The sequence below is a fragment of the Homo sapiens genome, chromosome 13 (assembly GCF_000001405.40).
Source record: "Homo sapiens chromosome 13, GRCh38.p14 Primary Assembly".
Lineage (NCBI taxonomy): Eukaryota > Metazoa > Chordata > Mammalia > Primates > Hominidae > Homo > Homo sapiens.
This window is the reverse complement of record NC_000013.11, coordinates 53,409,879-53,430,459: the sequence shown is the minus strand read 5'-3', so window position 1 is coordinate 53,430,459 and position 20,581 is coordinate 53,409,879. Positions and strand designations below refer to the sequence as shown.

At 37.2% G+C, this 20,581-nt stretch overlaps 1 annotated feature.

Moving 5' to 3' along the window:
- Positions 18,548-19,076: an enhancer, noted in NCBI's record as "NANOG hESC enhancer chr13:53985519-53986047 (GRCh37/hg19 assembly coordinates)". NCBI's record gives its function as "activates a minimal SCP1, AML or CMV promoter by ChIP-STARR-seq in naive H9 embryonic stem cells {active_cell/tissue: H9 hESC(naive)}" and the evidence as "EXISTENCE:reporter gene assay evidence [ECO:0000049][PMID:30033119]".

Genomic DNA, 20,581 nt, shown 5'->3' with positions numbered 1-20,581 from the left:
TTGCTACTCAAAGTGTGACCCCCGAACCAACAATGTTAACATCACTTGAAAGCTCGTTAGAAATACACAATCTCAGAAACCTCCCAGCCCTACTGAATCTGAATCTTCATTTAGCAGGAAAAACTGCTCAGGAGTAAAGGATCTTATTAAACTTAGTTGCAAGCAAGACTTCAAAGAAATCTCTTGTTGAAATATTCTATGTTTGTGTTCTTACATTTCTAGAGTAGTGTCCAGTAGTTTTCATAATATTCTTTAAAGACTTTGTGACCCAAATAAGGCAAAAAGCCAGCACTAGAGTCTAGACCAGTTCTCATAAACTTAAATCCTTTTTGGAGACAGCCAAATGAAATAAATGTGTGGAGTATGTCAGGAATTGCCAAATAAGTATGTAGACATCTGTAGACACATTTGGCACAAAACAGTGCTCTTTATCACTTTTTGAAACTTATTCCTTTATGTATCTTTAATTTTATCTCTTTTAATAGGAGAATGGGTTCAATACAATAACTCTTTCCTGTAAGGAAAAAAAAATCACCTGAACAGTGCTACATGACAATTGATACAGCCTTGGTAGGCCAAATAGGACAAGATGAGAATGCAGTAGTTGTGTCTCAGCTCCAGCCAATTGCTGGTAGGGAGGAATATGGGGCCATTGTTATCAGATCTTCTGCCTTTTTTTTTCTTTTTGAGATGGAGTCTCACTCTATTGCCCAGGCTGGAGTGCAGTGGCTTGATCTCCACTCACTGCAAGCTCCGCCTCCTGGGTTCAGGCCATTCTCCTGCCTCAGCCTCTCAAGCAGCTGGGACTACAGGTGCCTACCACCACACCCTGCTAATTTTTTGTATTTTTAGTAGAGACAGGGTTTCACCGTGTTAGCCAGGATGTTCTCAATCTCCTGACCTCGTGATCCGCTCACCTCAGCCTCCCAAAGTGCTGGGATTACAGGCGTGAGCCACCGCACCTGACCAGATCTTCTGAATTTTAAAGACAGTTCACAACTCCACACTGGTATGTGAAATTAAATCTTGAAATATTGCATCAGTGTTTTTTGATACTAAGACTGAGTAGGCCAAACAACACTTACACATAAGCATATCTAACAGTTAACATCCACTGGTACAGAACTATCTCTTGTCTCTTACTTCCAAGGAAACATCTTCCTAGAGCACATTCTGGCCAGAATCAAAATTCTATAAAAAGGTTATGCAACCTCATCTTCTCATTTTAAGAATGATAGGACAGAAAGTTGAGATGTCTTGGCAAAGGTCATAGTGAAATAATCTTGGTTAATATCAGTGTCACAGTGAGAGTTTTGTCAGCAAAGGCAAAAGCAAATTAAACTTTTATAGTAAGAAGAGATTGAATACAGGGACATGAGTGATAAGAAGGGTGAAAGAGTAAGTATCTGGGAAAGCTGCTTCTGCTTGTCAGGGTTGTTGCTTACCTTCCCAGTCAGGAAACTGCAGAACTGTGAGAAACTCCTAGCAAGAGAACAGCTGCCTGCAGCAATAGGGTAAGCAACTCATAGAAAATGAAGCCTATCTGCCAGCCCTCTGCTACTTGAGGAGCAACTGGGGGCTCCCACTTTTTGAAATTTTGCACTCATGCTTCTTTTTGGCAAAATCTAACCTTGAATTCTATCAGCAAGAGATTCTGAAAACAAATGTAGACTTTGAACCCCTGCAATACAAAGCAGAGGACACAAGAGGAGCGGGGACATGCTGACTTAACTGAGAACCAGGCAATCAGCTAACTAATCTAATATTTAATCTATGCCGATGCCTACTTTGGTCCAATTTGTTACAAACTCATTGTCACATAGACCTGCATGAGATAGCTTTATTACCTTCATGAGAGGACTAACAAATCTATTGTCAAGAATAAACTTTATTCTTTTATTCTACTGGGAGAAGAGCTTAGGAAGAAATGGAAAACTTTATCTATTGGAAGTTCACTCTAGAGTAAAAAAGATATGATGGCGCAATAAGAAATAGGTGGCAAAAACAAGTTAATCTATATGAAAAATCTGAGCATGCGTAACTATTTCCACCCTAACTTTAATCATGTTACTAAGCTTCACCTTATTGGCAGCACATATTTAAAATAAAATAAAATAAAATAAAATAAAATAAAATAAAATAAAATAAAATAAAATAAGATGTGTAATAATGCCAATGAGATACAAGTAAGAGTACAAGTGTTTAGATCCAGAGCAGGTACAAATCAAACTCAAAACAGTCAAAACACAGAAGCAGAATTTGAATGTATTAATAAGTTGTATTTTTCTTTGTCTTTTTTTACTTCTTGAAAGCAACTTTTAATGTATTAGTATGGTAAATACCTTCCAAAGGTATAAATTGCTCAGTATTTGATAATGAGAATCATTGTATACAAATTTTATATCATATAAATTATGAACTCAGAAAACACAAAGAGGGATACTTTTTAGTTCTATCATAGAGTTTCCAGAAGAACATTTCTTTTTTTCTCTGCCAAAAAATAAAGAGAGAAACTCTAAAATAAGTCACTAGATTAGAGATTTTAAATGTGAGACTTCAAACTATCAGTCCTAGAAGAAAACCTACGAAATACCATTCTAGACATCAGCCTTGGGAAAGTATTTATGACTAAGTCCTCAAAAGCAATTTCAACAAGAACAAAATCTGACAAGTTGGACCTAATTAAACCAAAGAACTTCTGCAGAGCAAAACAAACTATCAATAGAGTAAACAGACAACCTATAGAATGAGAGGAAATATTCACAAACTCTGTATCCAACAAAGGTCTAATATCCAGAAGCTAAAAGGAACTTAAACAATTCAACAAGCAAAAAGCAGATAAGCCCATTAAAAGTGGGCAAAAGACATGAACAGACACTTCTCAAAAGAAGACATACAATTGGCCAATAAACATATGAAAAAATGTTGACATTTGTAATCAGAGAAATGCAAGTCAAAACCACGATGAGATATCATTTCACATCAGTCATAATGGCTGTTATTAAAAAGTAAAAAAACTAGGCCAGGCACAGTGGCTCACGGCTGTAATCCTAGCACTTTGGGAGGCAGAGAGGGGCGGACTGCCTGAGCTCAGGAGTTCAAGACCAGCCTGGTCAACATGGTGAAACTCTGTCTCTACTAAAAATACAAAAATTAGCCAAGTGTGGTGGTGGGTGCCTATAATCCCAGCTACTTGGGAGGCTGAGGCAGGGAACTGCTTGAAACCAGAGGCGGAGGTTGCAGTGAGCCAAGATTGCACCACTTCACTCCAGCCTGGGCAAAAGAGTGAAACTCCCTCTCAAAAAAAAAAAAAAAAAAAAAAGTCAAAAACTACCAGATGCTGAAGTGGCTGCAGAGAAAAGACAACGTTTATATACTGTTGTATGCTGTTGATGGGAATGTAAATTAGCTCAGCCACTGTGAAAATAAGTTGGCAGATTTCTTAAACAACTTAATACAAAACTACTATTTGACCCAGCAATCCCATTACGGGGTATATAGCGAAAGGAAAATAAATAAGTCTACCAAAAAAAACATAGGCACTCATATGTTCATCACAGCATTATTCAAAGACATGGAATCAACCTACGTGCCCATCAACAGTGGATTGGATAAAGAGAATGTACTACATAGACACCATAGAATACTACATAGCTATAAAAAAAGAACTAAATCATGTCCTTTGTAGCAACATGGATGCAACTGGATGCCATTATCCTAAGCAAATTAATGTACAAACAGAAAAACAAATGCCATATGTTCTCACTTATAAGTGAGAGCTAAGCACTGAGTACTTATGAACATAATGATGGGAACAACAGACACTGGAGACTACTAGAGGGGAAAGAGAGAGGAGGGGGCAAAAGCTAAAAACCTACCTATTGGGTACTATGCTCACTACCTGGGTGATGGGATCATTCATACTCCAAACCTCAGCATCATGCAACATAGCCACATAATAAATCTGACCACGTACCTTCTGAATCTAAAATTAAAAATAAAAAATAAAGGCTGGGCGTAGTGGCTCAAGTCTGTAATCCCAGCACTTTGGGAGGCCGAGGCAGGTGGATCACGATGTCAGGAGATCGAGACCATCCTAGCTAACATAGTGAAACCTCATCTCTACTAAAAATACAAAAAATTAGCTGGGTGTGGCAGTGCATGCCTGTAGTCCCAGATACTCTGCAGGCTGAGGCAGGAGAATTGCTTGAACCCAGGAGACAGAGGTTGCAATGAGCCAAGATTCCGCCACTGCACTCCAGCCTGGGCAAGAGAGCGAAACTCCGTCTAAAAAAAATAATAAAATAAAAATAAAAAAATAAGTTACTGACCCTTACATCAAAGATCAGTTTGTGACCAGTGGGAAGTTTACCCCTCTGAGCCCCAATCTTTTCAACTGTAAAATAGCAATATGGTTTGCAAAGCTGCACTAAGATTAAAGGAGATGATGCCTGATACCTAGAAGAAATGCAGTAAATATTTATTTTCTTTTCATCTCGTTTGTAAAATTATTTCAGTAGCATGCCATGAAAGAAAATGTTCATAGCAGTGTTTCCCAAAGATGAAGTACCCACAAACATTGCCTAAGCAACAGTTTCCATAAGTATTTAAGGAAAGCTGGAAAAATTACATTTTCATTCAAATATTTCCAGTGCATGTTTAAAACAGTTAAGCACTGGTAAATTCTACTTAGATATTTAGAGTTATTGATTTGTAAGTCTTCTCTACAATAGGCCTGCTGATGAAAAGTCCAAGTTCTTTTCTCCATTCTGGCACTAATTCACTTTGTATCTCTGAACTTCAGTTCCCCACAGGTAATATAAGAACTTACAACAGCTTAGTTATAGAATTATTATAAAACATGCCTCTCTAATAAAAAGGTAATAGGAACAGACATTCATAAGAGTGCCAGTCGGCATAAGCCCATGGTAAAACTGCTTCAGAGAGACAATGAAGCACATAAATTAGCTTCTCCGTTTTCTTATTGATTCAGCTCTTTTCTACTGAATCACGATTCAGAGAGTGAGTGGGGATGAAGGACAGTTTGATCTGATGTCAAGCAAACACAGTATAGTTGGGCCGTTGCATAATAATAGCTAACGTTTTCTGCAGTTTACCATGTTCCCGGCATTGTTCAACATGTATAAACACAGTATTAATTCATTTAAACCTTAAGACCAATTCTCTGTTCTTCGGATTACTGAGTTTGGAAGCTTGGAAAAAAACAACCTTGTGGAGAGTCTACTATGACCTCCATTTTACAGGTGAGGAAACTGGGGCACCAAAAGGTTAAGCAAACTGCCCAAGTTACACAGCAAGACAGTGACAGAACCAGGTTTTGAACCAAGTCTGTCTATCTTCTTAACCACTCAGCCATTCTGTCACTGAATATGGTTTTCAATAGAGTTGTATCAGTTTGGCCGTTATGGAACTTTCCCTAAGTTTTAGCAAATGTGTGTCTTAATTCTTAATGTTACTGTGGATTTCAATTTTTCAAATGTTTGTATAAGAATTAGGAGAAACTACTAGCCAGAAACCATTTTAAATAGGAATTTAACATTTAAACTTTATAAGTTGTATTCCAGGCCAAACCTTTGGCCTCCCCTACTTTCTTTCAGGGAGTTCAATCCACCTGTGGAGCTGTAAGTATCTTACAAAGAATAATACCTACAGACTCAATCAGACACCGTTTTAAAAATATGTAAAATATCTGTCCTAGGGATTGTATGAGGCCCCCACTCATCAGATGTAAGTGTCCCTTTGTTTTCAGAAACACATAATTAGTTTTATACAAATAATTAGTTGTCATACAAATCCTAACAGAAGAACATAATGAACCATTTGGGACCATAAGTTCCATGGTCAGTATGGAGAACAAACGAATACACAGAAAGAAATAAAAATAGGCATAGGATTGGAAACACCCTTGGAAATGTTAGGAACATCAATTCTAGGTACTCAGATCAACTTGCCCTCAAGCACTTTCAAAGTGGAAAGATAAGGACTCCTGACTATTTATTTTTTGTCTTACTAAACTAAAGTCATCCTGATTTTCAGACTGTGTTCCAAACACGAAAATGCTTTAAATCAATGTTCCACATCAGAGATATTTTACTATGATACGCTCATTCAAAATGGATTTTTTATTGTTATCTTTTATTTTTTTGTGGAGTGCAGTAGCGCGATCTTGGCTCACTGGAACCTCTGCCTCCCGGGTTCAAGCAATTCTCCTGCCTCAGCCTCCTGAGTTGCTGGGGCCACAGTTGCTTGCCACCATGCCTGGCTAATTTTTGTATTTTTAGTAGAGACAGGGTTTCGCTATGTTGGCCAGGCTGATCTCGAACTCCTTACCTCAGGTGATCTACCCGCCTCAGCCTCCCAAAGTGTTGGGATTACAGACGTGAGCCACTGTGCCCAGCCAAAATTAATTTTTAAAATAGCAAGAGTATCTATATGCATGTATATACAATTAAAGTTTGCATATTTGGCATACGTTTAGTGTGCATTTTAAAGGAAGTACATTTATTCACATATACTATTAGAAATTCTGAGGATGTCTACTTTCTGAAGTTTAGCAGGCTGTTGCTTTCAACCACCACTTTAAAGCATTGCACAAAGCTTTAGCTGAAATTTCCAAGAATCTCAGGTCACTCACAGAAAACTGCTTCTTTGGTCCTCAAAGTGGGAATCTTTTAAATCTTTTAAATCAGGGGTAAATTATAAGAGGAAGAATTTTTACCCATATGTCATGTATTTTCTAGAAAACTCTTTACAAGGCCAACAGTTATCTGCCTGACCCTTTCATCAGCACCAAATTCATATTCAGAGGAAAAAATAAAGTTATTTGTGTTTGGAAGACTCTCCAATCCTAACTATACAAGTAAAAGCCACTTCAAGCTTTTTGCTTGCTCTGACACCCATCTGCTAAAAATCATTAGAGAAGGCTAAGCGACAGCGCATGTAAAACCAACATTTCCAGTTGAAAGAACCCTACTTTTGAGGACATGTTTTTCCAAGCTTCCAAAATCAGTAATCCAAAGAACAGAGAATTGGTCTTGAGTAAAAATGATTGGATTTAAATTATAAAGCTCCAAATTTACTAAACCCTCGGATACCAGTCCTGATAATACTGAGAGCAATAGAAAAGCAGTTATATAAAAACTGTTTTGGTAATATTGTTGCTGAAGAAGTCACTGTTTTCATTTTCACATGTTGAAGTAAAAGATCGTTTTTTATTTAGCACAAACGTGTATAGAATATCTCAAGCTTGTATAAGTGAATGAGTAACAAAATAACCCAAAAGTCATAATTTCATTAAAGAGCTTTTCGGAGAAACATATTTTAAATGAAAAAATTAATAAATATTAAAGAGTCTTAAACAATAAACATTTTTTAATGTGAGCATATACTAGTATCTTGATGTCAAATGATATTCTGGAAAAAATTTTAAGTTGAGCTCAATACACATTTTCAAACCTACATAACAGTTAACTCTAGATGAACCTTTAATTAAATTATATATATATATATATAATTTACCTTAAACAGTCTGCATAAAAGAAGAGCATAGCAAAAAAGGAGATGAAGATGATGAAGGAAGAGGAAAGGGGGAGGAAAAGAGAAGGGGAAGGATCTGTTTGAAGCCTTGAGTCATCCCATATCTCTAACACAACACCAACGCTGTACAGAGAAAAAAGTAAAGTTTGTTAGCTACCTAATTTAATTAAACTATGTTTAAAACACAACCAAGGATTTCAATTACAAAATTAAAAAGCTCCCAAAATTTATTGTATATTATTAAATAATTTTTAAATATTAAAATTTTTTAAAATTATTAAATTAAATTAATAGAATTTAATTAATAGAATTATTAGATTATTAAAATTATTAAATAATTTTTTCAAAATTAGATTAACTATCTAGAAGTATCAAATAAAATGACTAAACAACATCATCACATTCTATTTGTGAGATTTGCAAGTGGAGAGGGATTAATTGAAAAAAAAGAAAACTGAAAAACACAGTTTGATGCACAACAAATTAAAAACTCTACTTTTATGCATCCACAAGCATGAAAATGTAGGTATTATATTCTTCAGGAGAAACCAGAGCCAACTTTATATCCATGAAGTGAATCCTCAATCAGTCCACTGTCTAGGGCCATGCCAACAATGTAATTTTACCTTACATGAACAATTTTTAGGGAAGATTTTTTTATTCCATTTTTCTCCATAAGTTCTCAAGTCTCCATTCTGGTTTACCTTTGTAGACCTCAAATGTTAGGGTATAGGGAGGAATTCTTAAATAAAGGTGCATGAAACCATCTGCCAAAACGTATTATTTTTTAATGTGGCTAAATTTGTTGGCAGTAGGCTTTATTTTTCTGGAGAATTAAAAAATGTTTACTTTTCTTCATTTTTATGTGTCAACTCTGACTTAAGAGATAGAAAAAAATAGCTTATTGATCAGTTAATGAATGTTCATCACAGGCTGAACGTGCCAAGAAAATGATTAAAATTCTATTCTCTTCTATTGGCTCTGATTCCTTTGTTTAGATCTACTGTTTTCTTCCTGAAAGCAGAGCCATTATTTAGAGAGAAATTTCCTGAATTTTTGTGAGAAATTTACATATTGTTCTTTTCTATTATTCATGGTGTAATGGCTCAAATGTATTAATATTACCAAAGCATCCATTTATTCCCAAACCATAGCTACTACACACAATCCCAAGCCTGGTTGCCTCTTAACATTATTTGAATGATTTGTATTGCTCCCAACCAATACAAAATTAATTCCATTTTTAAGATTTCACAAATAATGAGGAAAAAAAAAGATCTTCTTTCCCCTTGTCTCAGCCTCAGAGTGGATGCCAATTTATAATGGTGAAAAGACTCCCAAGCTGCCCAGACAAGCTCAAAGAAACTTCCATTAAATCCTGTTATCTAGAATTACCTTTTTCTGGTTTCTGGGGAAAGAGACTTTTCATAAGCTGTATGCTCCTTTTACTCTTTCTGCCCACTAATGAGAAGGACAGACCTGATAGTTACCTCTGGGAAAAAGTAATAAGTTTGTTCAGCTTGGTTCCACCAATATTCTTCTTGGGAGCTTAAAACTGGGAGGGAGTTGACTTTCCACAGCTGTTCCAGACACTCCATCCTGTAGAAGTTGGGAGGCTCAATTGGGCCTGTGCATGGGGCCATTGAGTATCTGAGTCTGCCTAATTCCACTAGCTAATTCGTTTGACTAACTGACCTAAGGCCACATCCTTCGGCCACTACCAGTTATAAATGGCTATTTTAGCCTCTACTTGCCATTCTTGGATATACATCTGTTTGTTCAGGGGAAGATGAAGATTCTCTTTTTGAAGAGTTGTTTCGAAGCATCCTCCTCCAACATCACCTACAACCAATAGTTCTTTCTCCATCTGGGACCACCTATAGCACTTCTCCATCTCTCATGCAGGGAACTCCGTGTCCTCTGCATCATCTCACAAGCACCATCACACAGTGGTTTAAGAACATGCATGTTGTGCACATGTACCGTAAAACTTAAAGCATAATTAAAAAAAAAAAAAAAACCCAGGCTCTGGCAAAGGTCTGCTGCCCTCACTTGTTCTTTACAAATTTGGGTATGTGTCAGTTTCCCTCCATTTGTTTCCTTCCTTGTAAAATGAGGAATCTAATTTCTTATTTAGTGCTACTATATAGGTTAAATAGATTAATCTATTTAAAACACTTAGCATCAGGCTCAACACATAGGAAGCACTAAATTGGTATTTATTATCACTGTTATGCATGAATTGTGTCCCCATACCAAATTTACATGTTAAAATCTTGACCTCCAATGTGACTGTATTTAGAGAAAGGGCCTACAAAGACATGATTAAGGTTAAATATGGTTATAAGGATGGGCCCCTAATCCAATAAGACTGGGGTCTTCGTGAGAAAAGAAAGAGACCCCAGGGGTATGCTCATGCAAGGAAAGGTCATGTGAAGACACAGCAAGAATGTGGCTGTCTGCAAGCAAAAGAGAAACCAAACCTGCTAACATTTGATCTTGGACTTCCAGCCTCCAGAACTGTGAAAAATAACTTTCTTTTCTGTAATCCACCTAGTCTGTGGTATTTTGATATGGCAGCCTTAGCAGACTAATATAATCATTACTGCCATTGACATTATTATAACTCTGTATTTATTATACAAATAACTGGGAAGAATACAGGTAAACTCATTTATTTAAAGCAAATAATCCATGATCACTTTTGTAAGCAAGGTCATTATCTTAAATTTTGTGAAGATGGTCAGCCTTCAAAGAGGAACATGACCCAGTAATTTCAGGATCCTCAAGTAGTCAATGTATTAATATTACTACTCTTATTTATTCTTACCCTTTATTGATTCCATTTATACAGCCACAATAACTCTGGTTGATGAAGACCCTACAATGCAAAGATGGTTAGGTGCCAATATCCCATTCTCCCTATCATTCATACTAATAAAACCACCTTTTCAGTTAGACACATGGCAACCTGCAGTCAAGGTTGTATTTCTCAATGTGTTTTATAGCAAGATGTGATCCTGTCATTGAATTCTAACTGATGTGATATAGGCAGAAATATTTTATTGTGTTTCCAGAATATCTCCTTAAATGAGAAGGACAGGCCTTCTGTGCCCCTTCCTAAGTTCTACCACCTTGGATATAGATATCATTACCATATGATGGCAGCCATTTTAAATTTTGAAGGTGAACCCACCATAATGATAGCAAAATAGCAGGCTGGGAAGAGTTTTGGGATCTGAAGATTGTAAAGATGACAAAATTAGTCTGGACTATCTACCTCCGGATTTATCTTATGTGAAAGAAGTAGCCCTCTACTCTTCAAAGGCACCATTATTTCTGAGTTTATTGTTTGTAGCAGATATTTTTGATATCCATCTTCATAGTTTCTCAGCTCACCTCTGAGTTCACCTGCAGTTTCAGGACATAGTTTTCTAGCCTAAGATCCTGTGTCTCTCCATTCCCTGCTTGAGGCTTTTCTCTAGCCCTATAGAAACTTGGTGAGTAGGGCACAGCTGCAACTTGGTACTATGCACTACGGGGCAGTTGGCATCTTTGAGGGCAACCTTCCGCTACTGAAAAATAATCCCTGTCCTTCTGGTAGACAATTCTCACTAATCCTCTTGATTTTTTAAAGGGTGCTCACTGTACTTGAGTCCCTAGTTTCCCAAAGAGGTAATTTACCCTTCAAAATACACTTAGTGGCTTTTCTCCCTTTCTTGTCTCACTTTCTTCATCACCTCACTCGTCCTCACTCGTCCTCTGAGAATCGCTAAAGTCCTGGTCTCAAGGTGTACTCTTGGAAAACGTCAGCCAAGATATGATGGCTTGCAGTCTAACCAAATTCTAACTACACATCTTGGCCAAGAATAGTTCAGATATGTTTGCACAAATTCCAGACCCAACTTGGCTGGATATTAGATTCTCAGCTAAGGAACAATTAGAAATGGATGCAAAGGGCTTGGCTATTAAGAGGCTCAACCTAAGAGCCACGGCAACTAGATCATCTGTGTGAGAGACAAACATCATTCTTGGTTAAGTCTGGTCTTAGTTCTTGGCCAGTTCTTTACAATATATAACCAAAGCAGAATGGAGCAAAGTCTAAATGACCTTCTCTCTCCTCTTCTGTGGGAACCATCACATCTTCTCAGATGAATTTAATTCATTCTCATCCAGACATTGTAGGTAAGTAAAGCATTTTTATTTGCCTCTCAAGTGGAAAGGGGACTATAACACTCAGTGTAACCTAAAGGAATATTCTATACAATGGCAGTATTCTGATAGAAATTGGAGATGTCTATCCAGGTTTTCCAAATAAATTAAACTTTAATTCAATATGGTGAAACATCATAATGCATTTCAATAATCAAGCTCTCTTTTTCAATCATAAATTTTCTTTACTATTAAAACTCAACTTTTTTATGCCCTGGCTGATAGTTTTGACATACGCAAAAGGTTTTTGAGAAAAATGCTGTTATGAATCCAGTGATTCATTGGAACATCAATTCTAAGAATTAGTTCTTTCAAAATTGGGTCTTTCAAGGAAATATATATTTTTCAAAATAATTGTCCTTGGATCACTAAACCCGGGTATGTAACATCCTCCCTGCCACAAGGCTGAAAAGATTTTAATGTTGTGGAAGAAACTGGTGACAGTGGTAAAGTTAATAGGTTTCTACTTAAGAAATAACTGGACATTTCTCTTGTTTTATGAGGCAATAATTTTACTCCCTAGTGAATAAAGACTGGAAAAAATTGGATCCCTTCCAAAGATATAACCTATACTATATCAAATAGTGCCATTACATTTCTCTTAACTACTTCCTGGAGGTCATATGGCTGCTTATAGGGAAAGCTTTTCTGATAACTTTTTCTGAAAAATCACATTAAACAAATACCAGCCTAACAATGCAAAGACCTGGTGCTCAGTCTTCCAAAGATGACTTATGTAGCTGACTTTCCAGCCTCCAAAATGTATTGCCCCCATTATTACCATAGTGTAACATTGCCTTTTATGTAAATAATCCAGGAAACATTTAAGTCATTTATACCACTGTTTAAGTCATTTATACCAATTTTATGGGAGGCTCAAGATTCTCAGCCTGAAAAAAATCTCTGTTAAAAAGGGGATTACTGTGCATTTGTTCTGTCTTGCTCAAAATGAGTAAGTATTGAAAAGAAATATTTCAAAAGGCAGTGAATCAAGTGTATTTGCACATATATTGCCTACCCAAATGCAAATCCTAAGAGAATCCTTGAAAATCAGCCATTGAATATGTTTCTGCTTATCTGACTTAAAATAGTTAACCTGACATATAAAATATATGTTCATAATACCTTAACAGGCCTTACAAAAATATGCAGTAAAATGATGTGATCTACTAAAGTCAGTAGCCAAGTCAGTTCTCTAGAAGAGCAGTCTTTTGTGTTCACTATTAACAAATTTCACCTTGGAGACCTCCTCAAGTCACTGATTTAAGTTTTCTGTTTTAAGTTGTTGACCATGGCCTAAGAAAGATCGGCACCTAGTTTCTAAAATAGCAGAAAATTCCGTCTCTAAAGGAAGTCTATGTTATATGTAGGTATCCCATCATGCTGAGAATAAAGGAATCAACTCATTTGAACCAGGCTATACCCGAAATTAAAACAACTTCTAACAATTTTCAGTATGCTTTAATTTTGCCCACATGGATATTCTACGGGTAATTGTGAGTTTCTAATTATAGTGCTGTGCTTTGAATTTGCTGATTGATGTGAATTTAAAATCTTATAGTTTTAACTCATTTGCCCTATTAAATAGGTCGGTGGTTAATATTATCCACCTACATGTCTAAATACTTAGCTCAGCTGAAAGGTTAAGCAACTTTACCACCAGCATATGATGAACTCTTGTTTCATTCAAGCTCATTTTCCTTCTGCTCTGGAGATTGTTTCTTCAATGCCCATTCTCAACCTGGACTCAAAGACGACTCTGGTCTGTGTCTATACTGCTATACTGAAGAAGGATCTGGGAATTTCTTTGGACTTATCTAGGATGCTTGCAGAGAATCACAACAGGCCTTGCCTCACTCAGCCCATGACACCCCTGTTTTGTAGCAGGGAAGTTCCCTAATATTGTGCATTGAGGGAGCCTATCCTTTCTATGTTTTCCCTCCAACCCACAACTCTCAGTACTACTGTAAAAGTCATGGAGAATTAGCAGAAGCTGGCCAAACCAGGAAGACAGTTGCATCATCTTTGGGGTGCTCTCACCTCTCCTTCTTCTAACCTTAGTTCCAAAATCAGCACAAACCTTCTTTTTCTTTCTCTTATTCAAAACTGCACTGTATCTTGTTCTCAAGACGTCTTGCTGTTTATGTTCATTAAAAGAATTCGGTGAGTTCATAAAACTGAGATCTTGAAATTGAAGTAATAAAACACCTCTGGTTTCTTGATAGATCCCTACTTCCCTTTACATGTGGGAAAGGAGGAGTTAAAATAAAGGTGTGATGGTTAATTTTATGTGTCAACTTGTTCGAGCTATGGTGCTCACTTGTTTGGTCCAGCATTAGTCTGGATGTTGTTGTGAAGGTATTTTGTTGATGTGATTAACATCCACAGTCATTTGACTTTAGGTAAAGGAGATTACATTTTATAAGATAGAGGTGCTTCATATAATCCATTGAAGGCCTTGAAGGCAAAAACCAAGGTTCCCTAGAGTAAAAGGAATTCTGCCTCAAGACTGAAACATAGAAATCCTGCCTGACTTTCCAATCTAAGCCCACTGTATGGATTTCAGACTCAAGACTGCAACATCAACTCTTATCTGAATTTGTAGCTGGTTGGCCTACAAATTTCAAACACCTCCCTCCACATTCACTGGAGCCAATTTCAAGTCACTTAAAATAAATCTCTTATGTATTTGTGTGCACATTTAAAGTCCTGTTGGTCTTGTTCCCTGATTGATAAACAGAAAGGAAATAACATATTTGATATATATCTGCTATGTGTCAGGAATCATGCTAAGCAAGCTACACATATTAACTCATGTGTGGAGGTAAAGATTTTTATAACCACCATGCGAAAGTGTCTAATGTGTATTCTTCAGTTGTCATAAAAGACTCTTCCAAATATCCCTTAGCCATCTCTCATCCTTCCTCACCAAAGACTGCATAATGTGGTGACCAATCATAAACATTACTTCTACCCTAGGAGAGGAGTTCAAACACAGCAGAAGGCAAATGAATGAACACAGGCCTACAGGAGTTTGAAGCCTACTATAAAAATGAAAAAGAAAACTCCTTGATAGTCTTCTATAAAACACAATATTCAAGAATGAAACATAGAAAGTAAACACTGTGTACTGCTAAATATTTAAAAATATAAAAAACTGCTGCACAGATTCCATTTTAAGATATGCAATTTCACACTTTCTAGAGGGGAAAAAATAGGAATAATGTAAAATGCTATATAAGAAAAGGAAGCACTTTGCAATTTATGTATTATCTGAGGTCAATTCCCATAAATTTCCAAAAAAAGAAAGAATCCGGTGCCTAGTTAGAGAGGAAACGAAAGAGGTGGAGTGGTTTGCATGCCATTATACATTTGCCTGAAGCATAAACCACATTTTACTTTATTCCAGGGAGAATAGAGCCTGGCTAAAAGATGCAGATGAAAAATTTTAAAATCAACAGCATAATTGGGATATGCTTTGGTGCATTTTTCCCAAAGAAATATAGATATATTTTACCCTCTGATCAACCTAGCATAGGCTATTAGACCCTAGCATAGGCTATTGAACTCCAGGCTGTGATCTCTTTGTAGTTTCTTGCTAAATAGCAGTAAGTACCTGGCAGCGGCACAATAATATCAACAACTACAACAAAACAAACAACAATATTAATAATAACAATACCCATCATTTATTGAGGAATGGTTTTGTGGATTCTATTTTATTTTTTAAGAAATTCTACAAATCAATAGCATATAAACTTCAGTTAAAAAGTGATAAATGGCAATTAAAACAGCATAAAAATACAATTCACATCAAATTTAAGGAAAACAAGTGCAACCTTGCTAATAAATAAGGTGAATTAAAACAGGACTCCATTTCCATCATGTTTTTTTGTTTTGTTTTGTTTTTTGTTTTTTTGAGATGGAGTTTCACTCTTGTTGCCCAGGCTGGAGTGCAATGGCACAATCTCCCAGCTCACTGCAACCTCGGCCTCCTGAGTTCAAGTGATTCTCCTGCCTCAGCCTCCTGGAGTAGCTGAGATTATAGGCACCCATCACCATGCCCAGCTAATTTTTGTATTTTTAGTAGAGATGAGGTTTCGTCACATTGGCCAGGCTGGTCTCAAACTCCTGACCTCAGGTGATTCACCTGCCTCAGCCTTCCAAAGTGCTGGGATTACAGGTGTGAGCCACCATGCCTGGCCATTTGTTTGTTTTTTAATGAAAATATTCAAAGGAGAGGGAAACAGGCTCCCATCCATCACTGAGTATTAGAAATTGGTAAAACCTCTCTGGAGGACAATTTGGCAACTGGGATTAAATCCTTCATAGTGTGCATACTGTTTGACCTAGAAATTTCTTTTCATTAAACTTATCTTCAGGAATGATAAATGTGTACAAAGACTTATGTATAAAGATATTTATCCCAGTATTTACAGAAGTGAAAACATGAATATAACTTAAATGCACTAAACAGATATTTAATAAAATTATTCTGGCACAACCAAATGATGGAATATTGTCCAGGCCAAAACAACATGCTTTAGCAAAATATTTAGCAATAAAGAAAAATATTAAAAGATTTTCAAGTGAAAAAACAAATATAAAAGGATGTTATAATTCCAGTGACTGTGGCTTTGCACAACACAGTTTTCCCTGGGCCTCTATTTCATTATATTTGAAATAAAAAGTCCGGTCTGAATGATGGCTGAGATCTCTTGCAAATCCCCAGTGCTAAGGTTCAAAATTTTTTGGTTTTGACCGGAAAAGTTTCCCTCTACATTTAAGAGATAGCTGATGGCTTCTGGCACATTCAGCTCTAGGCCAGATCTAGTATTACTCCATCAGTAGGTGCCACTAATTCTAATTACACAAATTTTATTCCAAGTGAAAGCCAGTTTAAACAGGTAGGGGGGATAGGCAGCATCACCCTTTGAGCTATACTATGAAGGCAAATTTTGTTTTTCAAAATAGTTGGTACCATTTCACAAATGGTGCTGACACTCCCATTTAAGTTTCAGTGTTGGTCAGTCACACCACCATGCAAATAACTTCAAAGAACTTGTTTCAGTGAGGGTTATCCAGGAACACAGAACCAGTAGAATTGAGAGGGGGAGAGAGAAAGAGAGAGAGAGAGAGAGGAATTGGCTTATGTGATTGTGGGGCTGGCAAGTCTAAAATCTGTTGAGCAGGCCAACATGCTGGAAACTTGACAGCAGGAGTTGATGTTGTGGTCTGGAGGCAGAATTTCCTCCTTGTCTAGGTAATCTCAATTTTTAATCCTAAGGACTTTCAACTGATTAGATGGGGCCTGCCTGTATTATCTACAGTAATCTCCTCTACTTAATGTCAACTAATCGTAAATGTTGACCACATCTATAAAATAGCTTCCCGGTAACACCTAAATTAGACTTTGATTAAATAATTAGGTGCTGTAGCCCAGCCAAGTTGACACATATGAGTATTTTTCTCCTGACACCAGGCTGCAATCAGTCCCTCTAAAGCAACACGAATTTTGCTTGGACTTGCAAGTAAAAAAGAAAATGGATTGAAGAGGAGTAGAAAGAGAAGCGATTTTTTTAAATGGGTAGGTCTTGAGAGAGGTAAATTTATTCAAAAATGTGCAATGGGACATATGGAACTGAGAGTTTTGGGGGTGGGAGGGACAGGGTTGTACTCTGAATAATTTGAATCACCAGGAAGGCAATGTGCATGTACCAAGAGACTGGAGATGTCATGTGAGAAGATGGAACCTGGAGGAGGTAAAAGAAGGACTAACAGCCTACTGGCATTTTGTTTGATGGTTAGAATGGTAACATTAAGCACTGGTGATCATCTCCTGCTGCCTTGGCCTGTCTACTGTGGGTTGCCAATGCCTGCCCTAGGCTAATGAAGTACATGTTGCCTCCATTAACAGGAAAAATCAGAGTTTCTTTTAAAATAAACTTACCAGTTTAATAAGAAAGAAAATGATAGTCCATGATCACCATTCAGGTTTCAGATACACAGATAAATGTCATTTGAGTTTTGAATCCTAGGAATTGATTAGGAATATGCTCTTTTTTACAGTTTCAAAATTAACTGATTTAGCATATCCTTGGCTGCTCAGCAAAACACATTCTCTTCTTCTATATCCAACAATCTGCCAGCAGAACTCCCCTATTTATCTAGTTAACCAGCCTTTCAAAACCATTTATCAAGGGCCTACTATTTCATTAAACAGTGAAAAACTTAAAATTTTAGAATCAATCTTGACGTTTGCCTCCTGTCTATTCTACACCACATATAATAAGACTTCCTATTCACTGCCAAAGTGATTGATTATTGATTATCATGTTTTTCTCTTTTATTATAAACTCCTAAATCTCCCCTTCCAAATATTTCTCCTTTGAGTACCAGGAAACTCTTCAGAAAGCAAAGTTTGTGCATTTCACTGCCCTACTCAAAAACTTTCCACAGTTCCTCATTTTTTTTATAGAGTACATTTTATTTTCTTTATCAGGAAATTCAAAGCACTTCTTATCTAGACCTACCTCCCATTTTTTCCATTTAATGTATACTCCAGTTTGAATACATTCTGAGATTTTCTGCCTAGATGCCTTTGCTCAAGCTGTTTCCTACCAGAATGGCTATTTAACCTTAGCCCAGTAATCCGTATTCTGTATATAAGTCAGTCATTTTTTTCAACGCAAGTGGAAGAAATTGAGCCAAAACTATCCTAAACATAAAAGCAAAATTGTTGGCTTATGTGCTAGAAAACTCCAGAAGTACAAAACAGCTTCAGGCCTAAGCAGAGATCTGGATTTAGGTTCCCAATCTATCTCATTTCTTTATATGAGCTTTACTTTCAGGCAGTTTCCCTGAATGTGGTGACTGATTAGTAAAATTATTATGTAAGAAGACAGAGGAGGGAGATCAGAGTAGACATCTAAGCAGATGAATGTGGGTAAGTGGAGCCTTTCCTTTGCTTGTGTCTGTAGCCACTTTGCAGAGCCTAGAGGCTGTTTTCCACTCAGCTTCTATTACCAATTATCAGCCTTTGTGTAAAGAGCTCTGCCCTGACTGTGGCACAGCAGGCCTAGGCATTTGCTCTGGCCTTTCCTTGCTGTGTTAAATCCACATACCCTAGTGTATGAACCAATATGTTTACTTTAGAAAGTAATGATTTGAGAAGGTTATACATAGTTTAAAATGCAAGTTAGAACAAAGCAAATCGTCTGAATTATTTAAAACAAGCCTTACCAAGACAATTGCTGTCACTTATTTCTGTAGTTTTTCTAACTCAACTGATGAAAAATCATTCAGCTTTCAAAAATTTCATGCTGTCATTTGGTTACCTTGCCACTAGGTGAAAGACATTTATAAGGATTATGACCATACTGTGCAAACCATAAAACATAAGCCCTAGGTGTATTTCACTGACAACTTAAAAAGAGACTCACTGCCTGAACTTTGAAGTGAGCCATTCAGTGTCTTCTCTTGTTGGGGGGAGTTTATATATATACGTGTGTGTGTGTGTGTGTGTGTGTGTGTGTGTGTGTGTGTGTGTGCGCGCGCGCTTACTTTAAGTAATCACTAAATCACCACTAAAAAAATTAAAGGTAGAAGAGTCTAGATTTGATAATTTCCTCACTATTTCTTACCTGCCTTTGAACTCGTATTGGAGCCCAAGGTCCACCTCAGTAGTTTATCCTTGCTATCTCTCCTGGCTCAGCACCAGTGCCCCTCTGTTGCTTATCTCTCCACTGCTGGATTATGTTTCCCTGGGCATACATGGCCTGTGTTGCCTACTTGGTCAGTGCAAGATAATCAAAAGAGAAGGATTTATTTTTGCCTTTTCATGAATCATAAAATTTTCATTTGGAGGTCTCTTAAAGTTATCCTAATCCATCTATTTACCGTTGATAAAATTAGGCCTGGAGAGGTCAGGGAATTCTTCTATCAGCATTTACCTAGCTAGAGGCCAGGCAGGAACTAGGACCAACAATTTTAGGAAACAAAGTTACACATAGCTCAAGCTGAAAGTGCTAAATAGCTGATGGGAGGAGGAAATGAAAACAGTAAAAAGGAAAGTGACATCCTACTGGTTAAAGGAAATTAACCCCAGCACCATTGTGGTTGTCATTCACCTGTTCCACCTTATCAGTCTCTCTTCTCCTTCTAGGCCAAGGGTTCCCAATGCCTGCGCCACACACCTGTACTGGTTTGTGGCCTGTTAGGAACCGGGCTGCACAGTAGGAGGTGAGCATTACTGCCTGAGCTCCGCCTCCTGTCAGGTCAGTGGCAGCATTAGATTTTCATGGGAGTGTGAACCCTACCATGAACTGCTCTTAAGAGGGGTCTAGGTTATGTGCTCCTTATGAGAATATAACCAATGCCTGATGATCTGAGGTGAACAGTTTCTATGCCAAAAAGGTTGGGGACCGCTGTTCTATGCTCTTGTAAGGATCGTGCTTCTTGCTTTCCCAGTGGCTGGGTGAGGCCACGTGACTGTTTCTCTGCATTGAGCTGGGAGTGGAAGTGATACTTAGCCCATCGCCTGGGCCAATGATTGAATGTGATATACCATAATACTTGTTCTTCCTATTGACTTCCCACTGAGTTGCAAGTGACATGCAACCCCTAAACCTGAGTCCCCAAGAAGGATGATGAGGCTATGGAGTGAAGGTCCTCAGCTGACTCATGTTGGATCTGTAGGGTAAAAAGAAATGCCTTTGTTATTTTAAATATTGATATTTGGGGAATGTTTGTTAATTGCATTACAATTTAACTCTGTCCAGTATAGGCATGTGCCACATAACAACATTTTGGC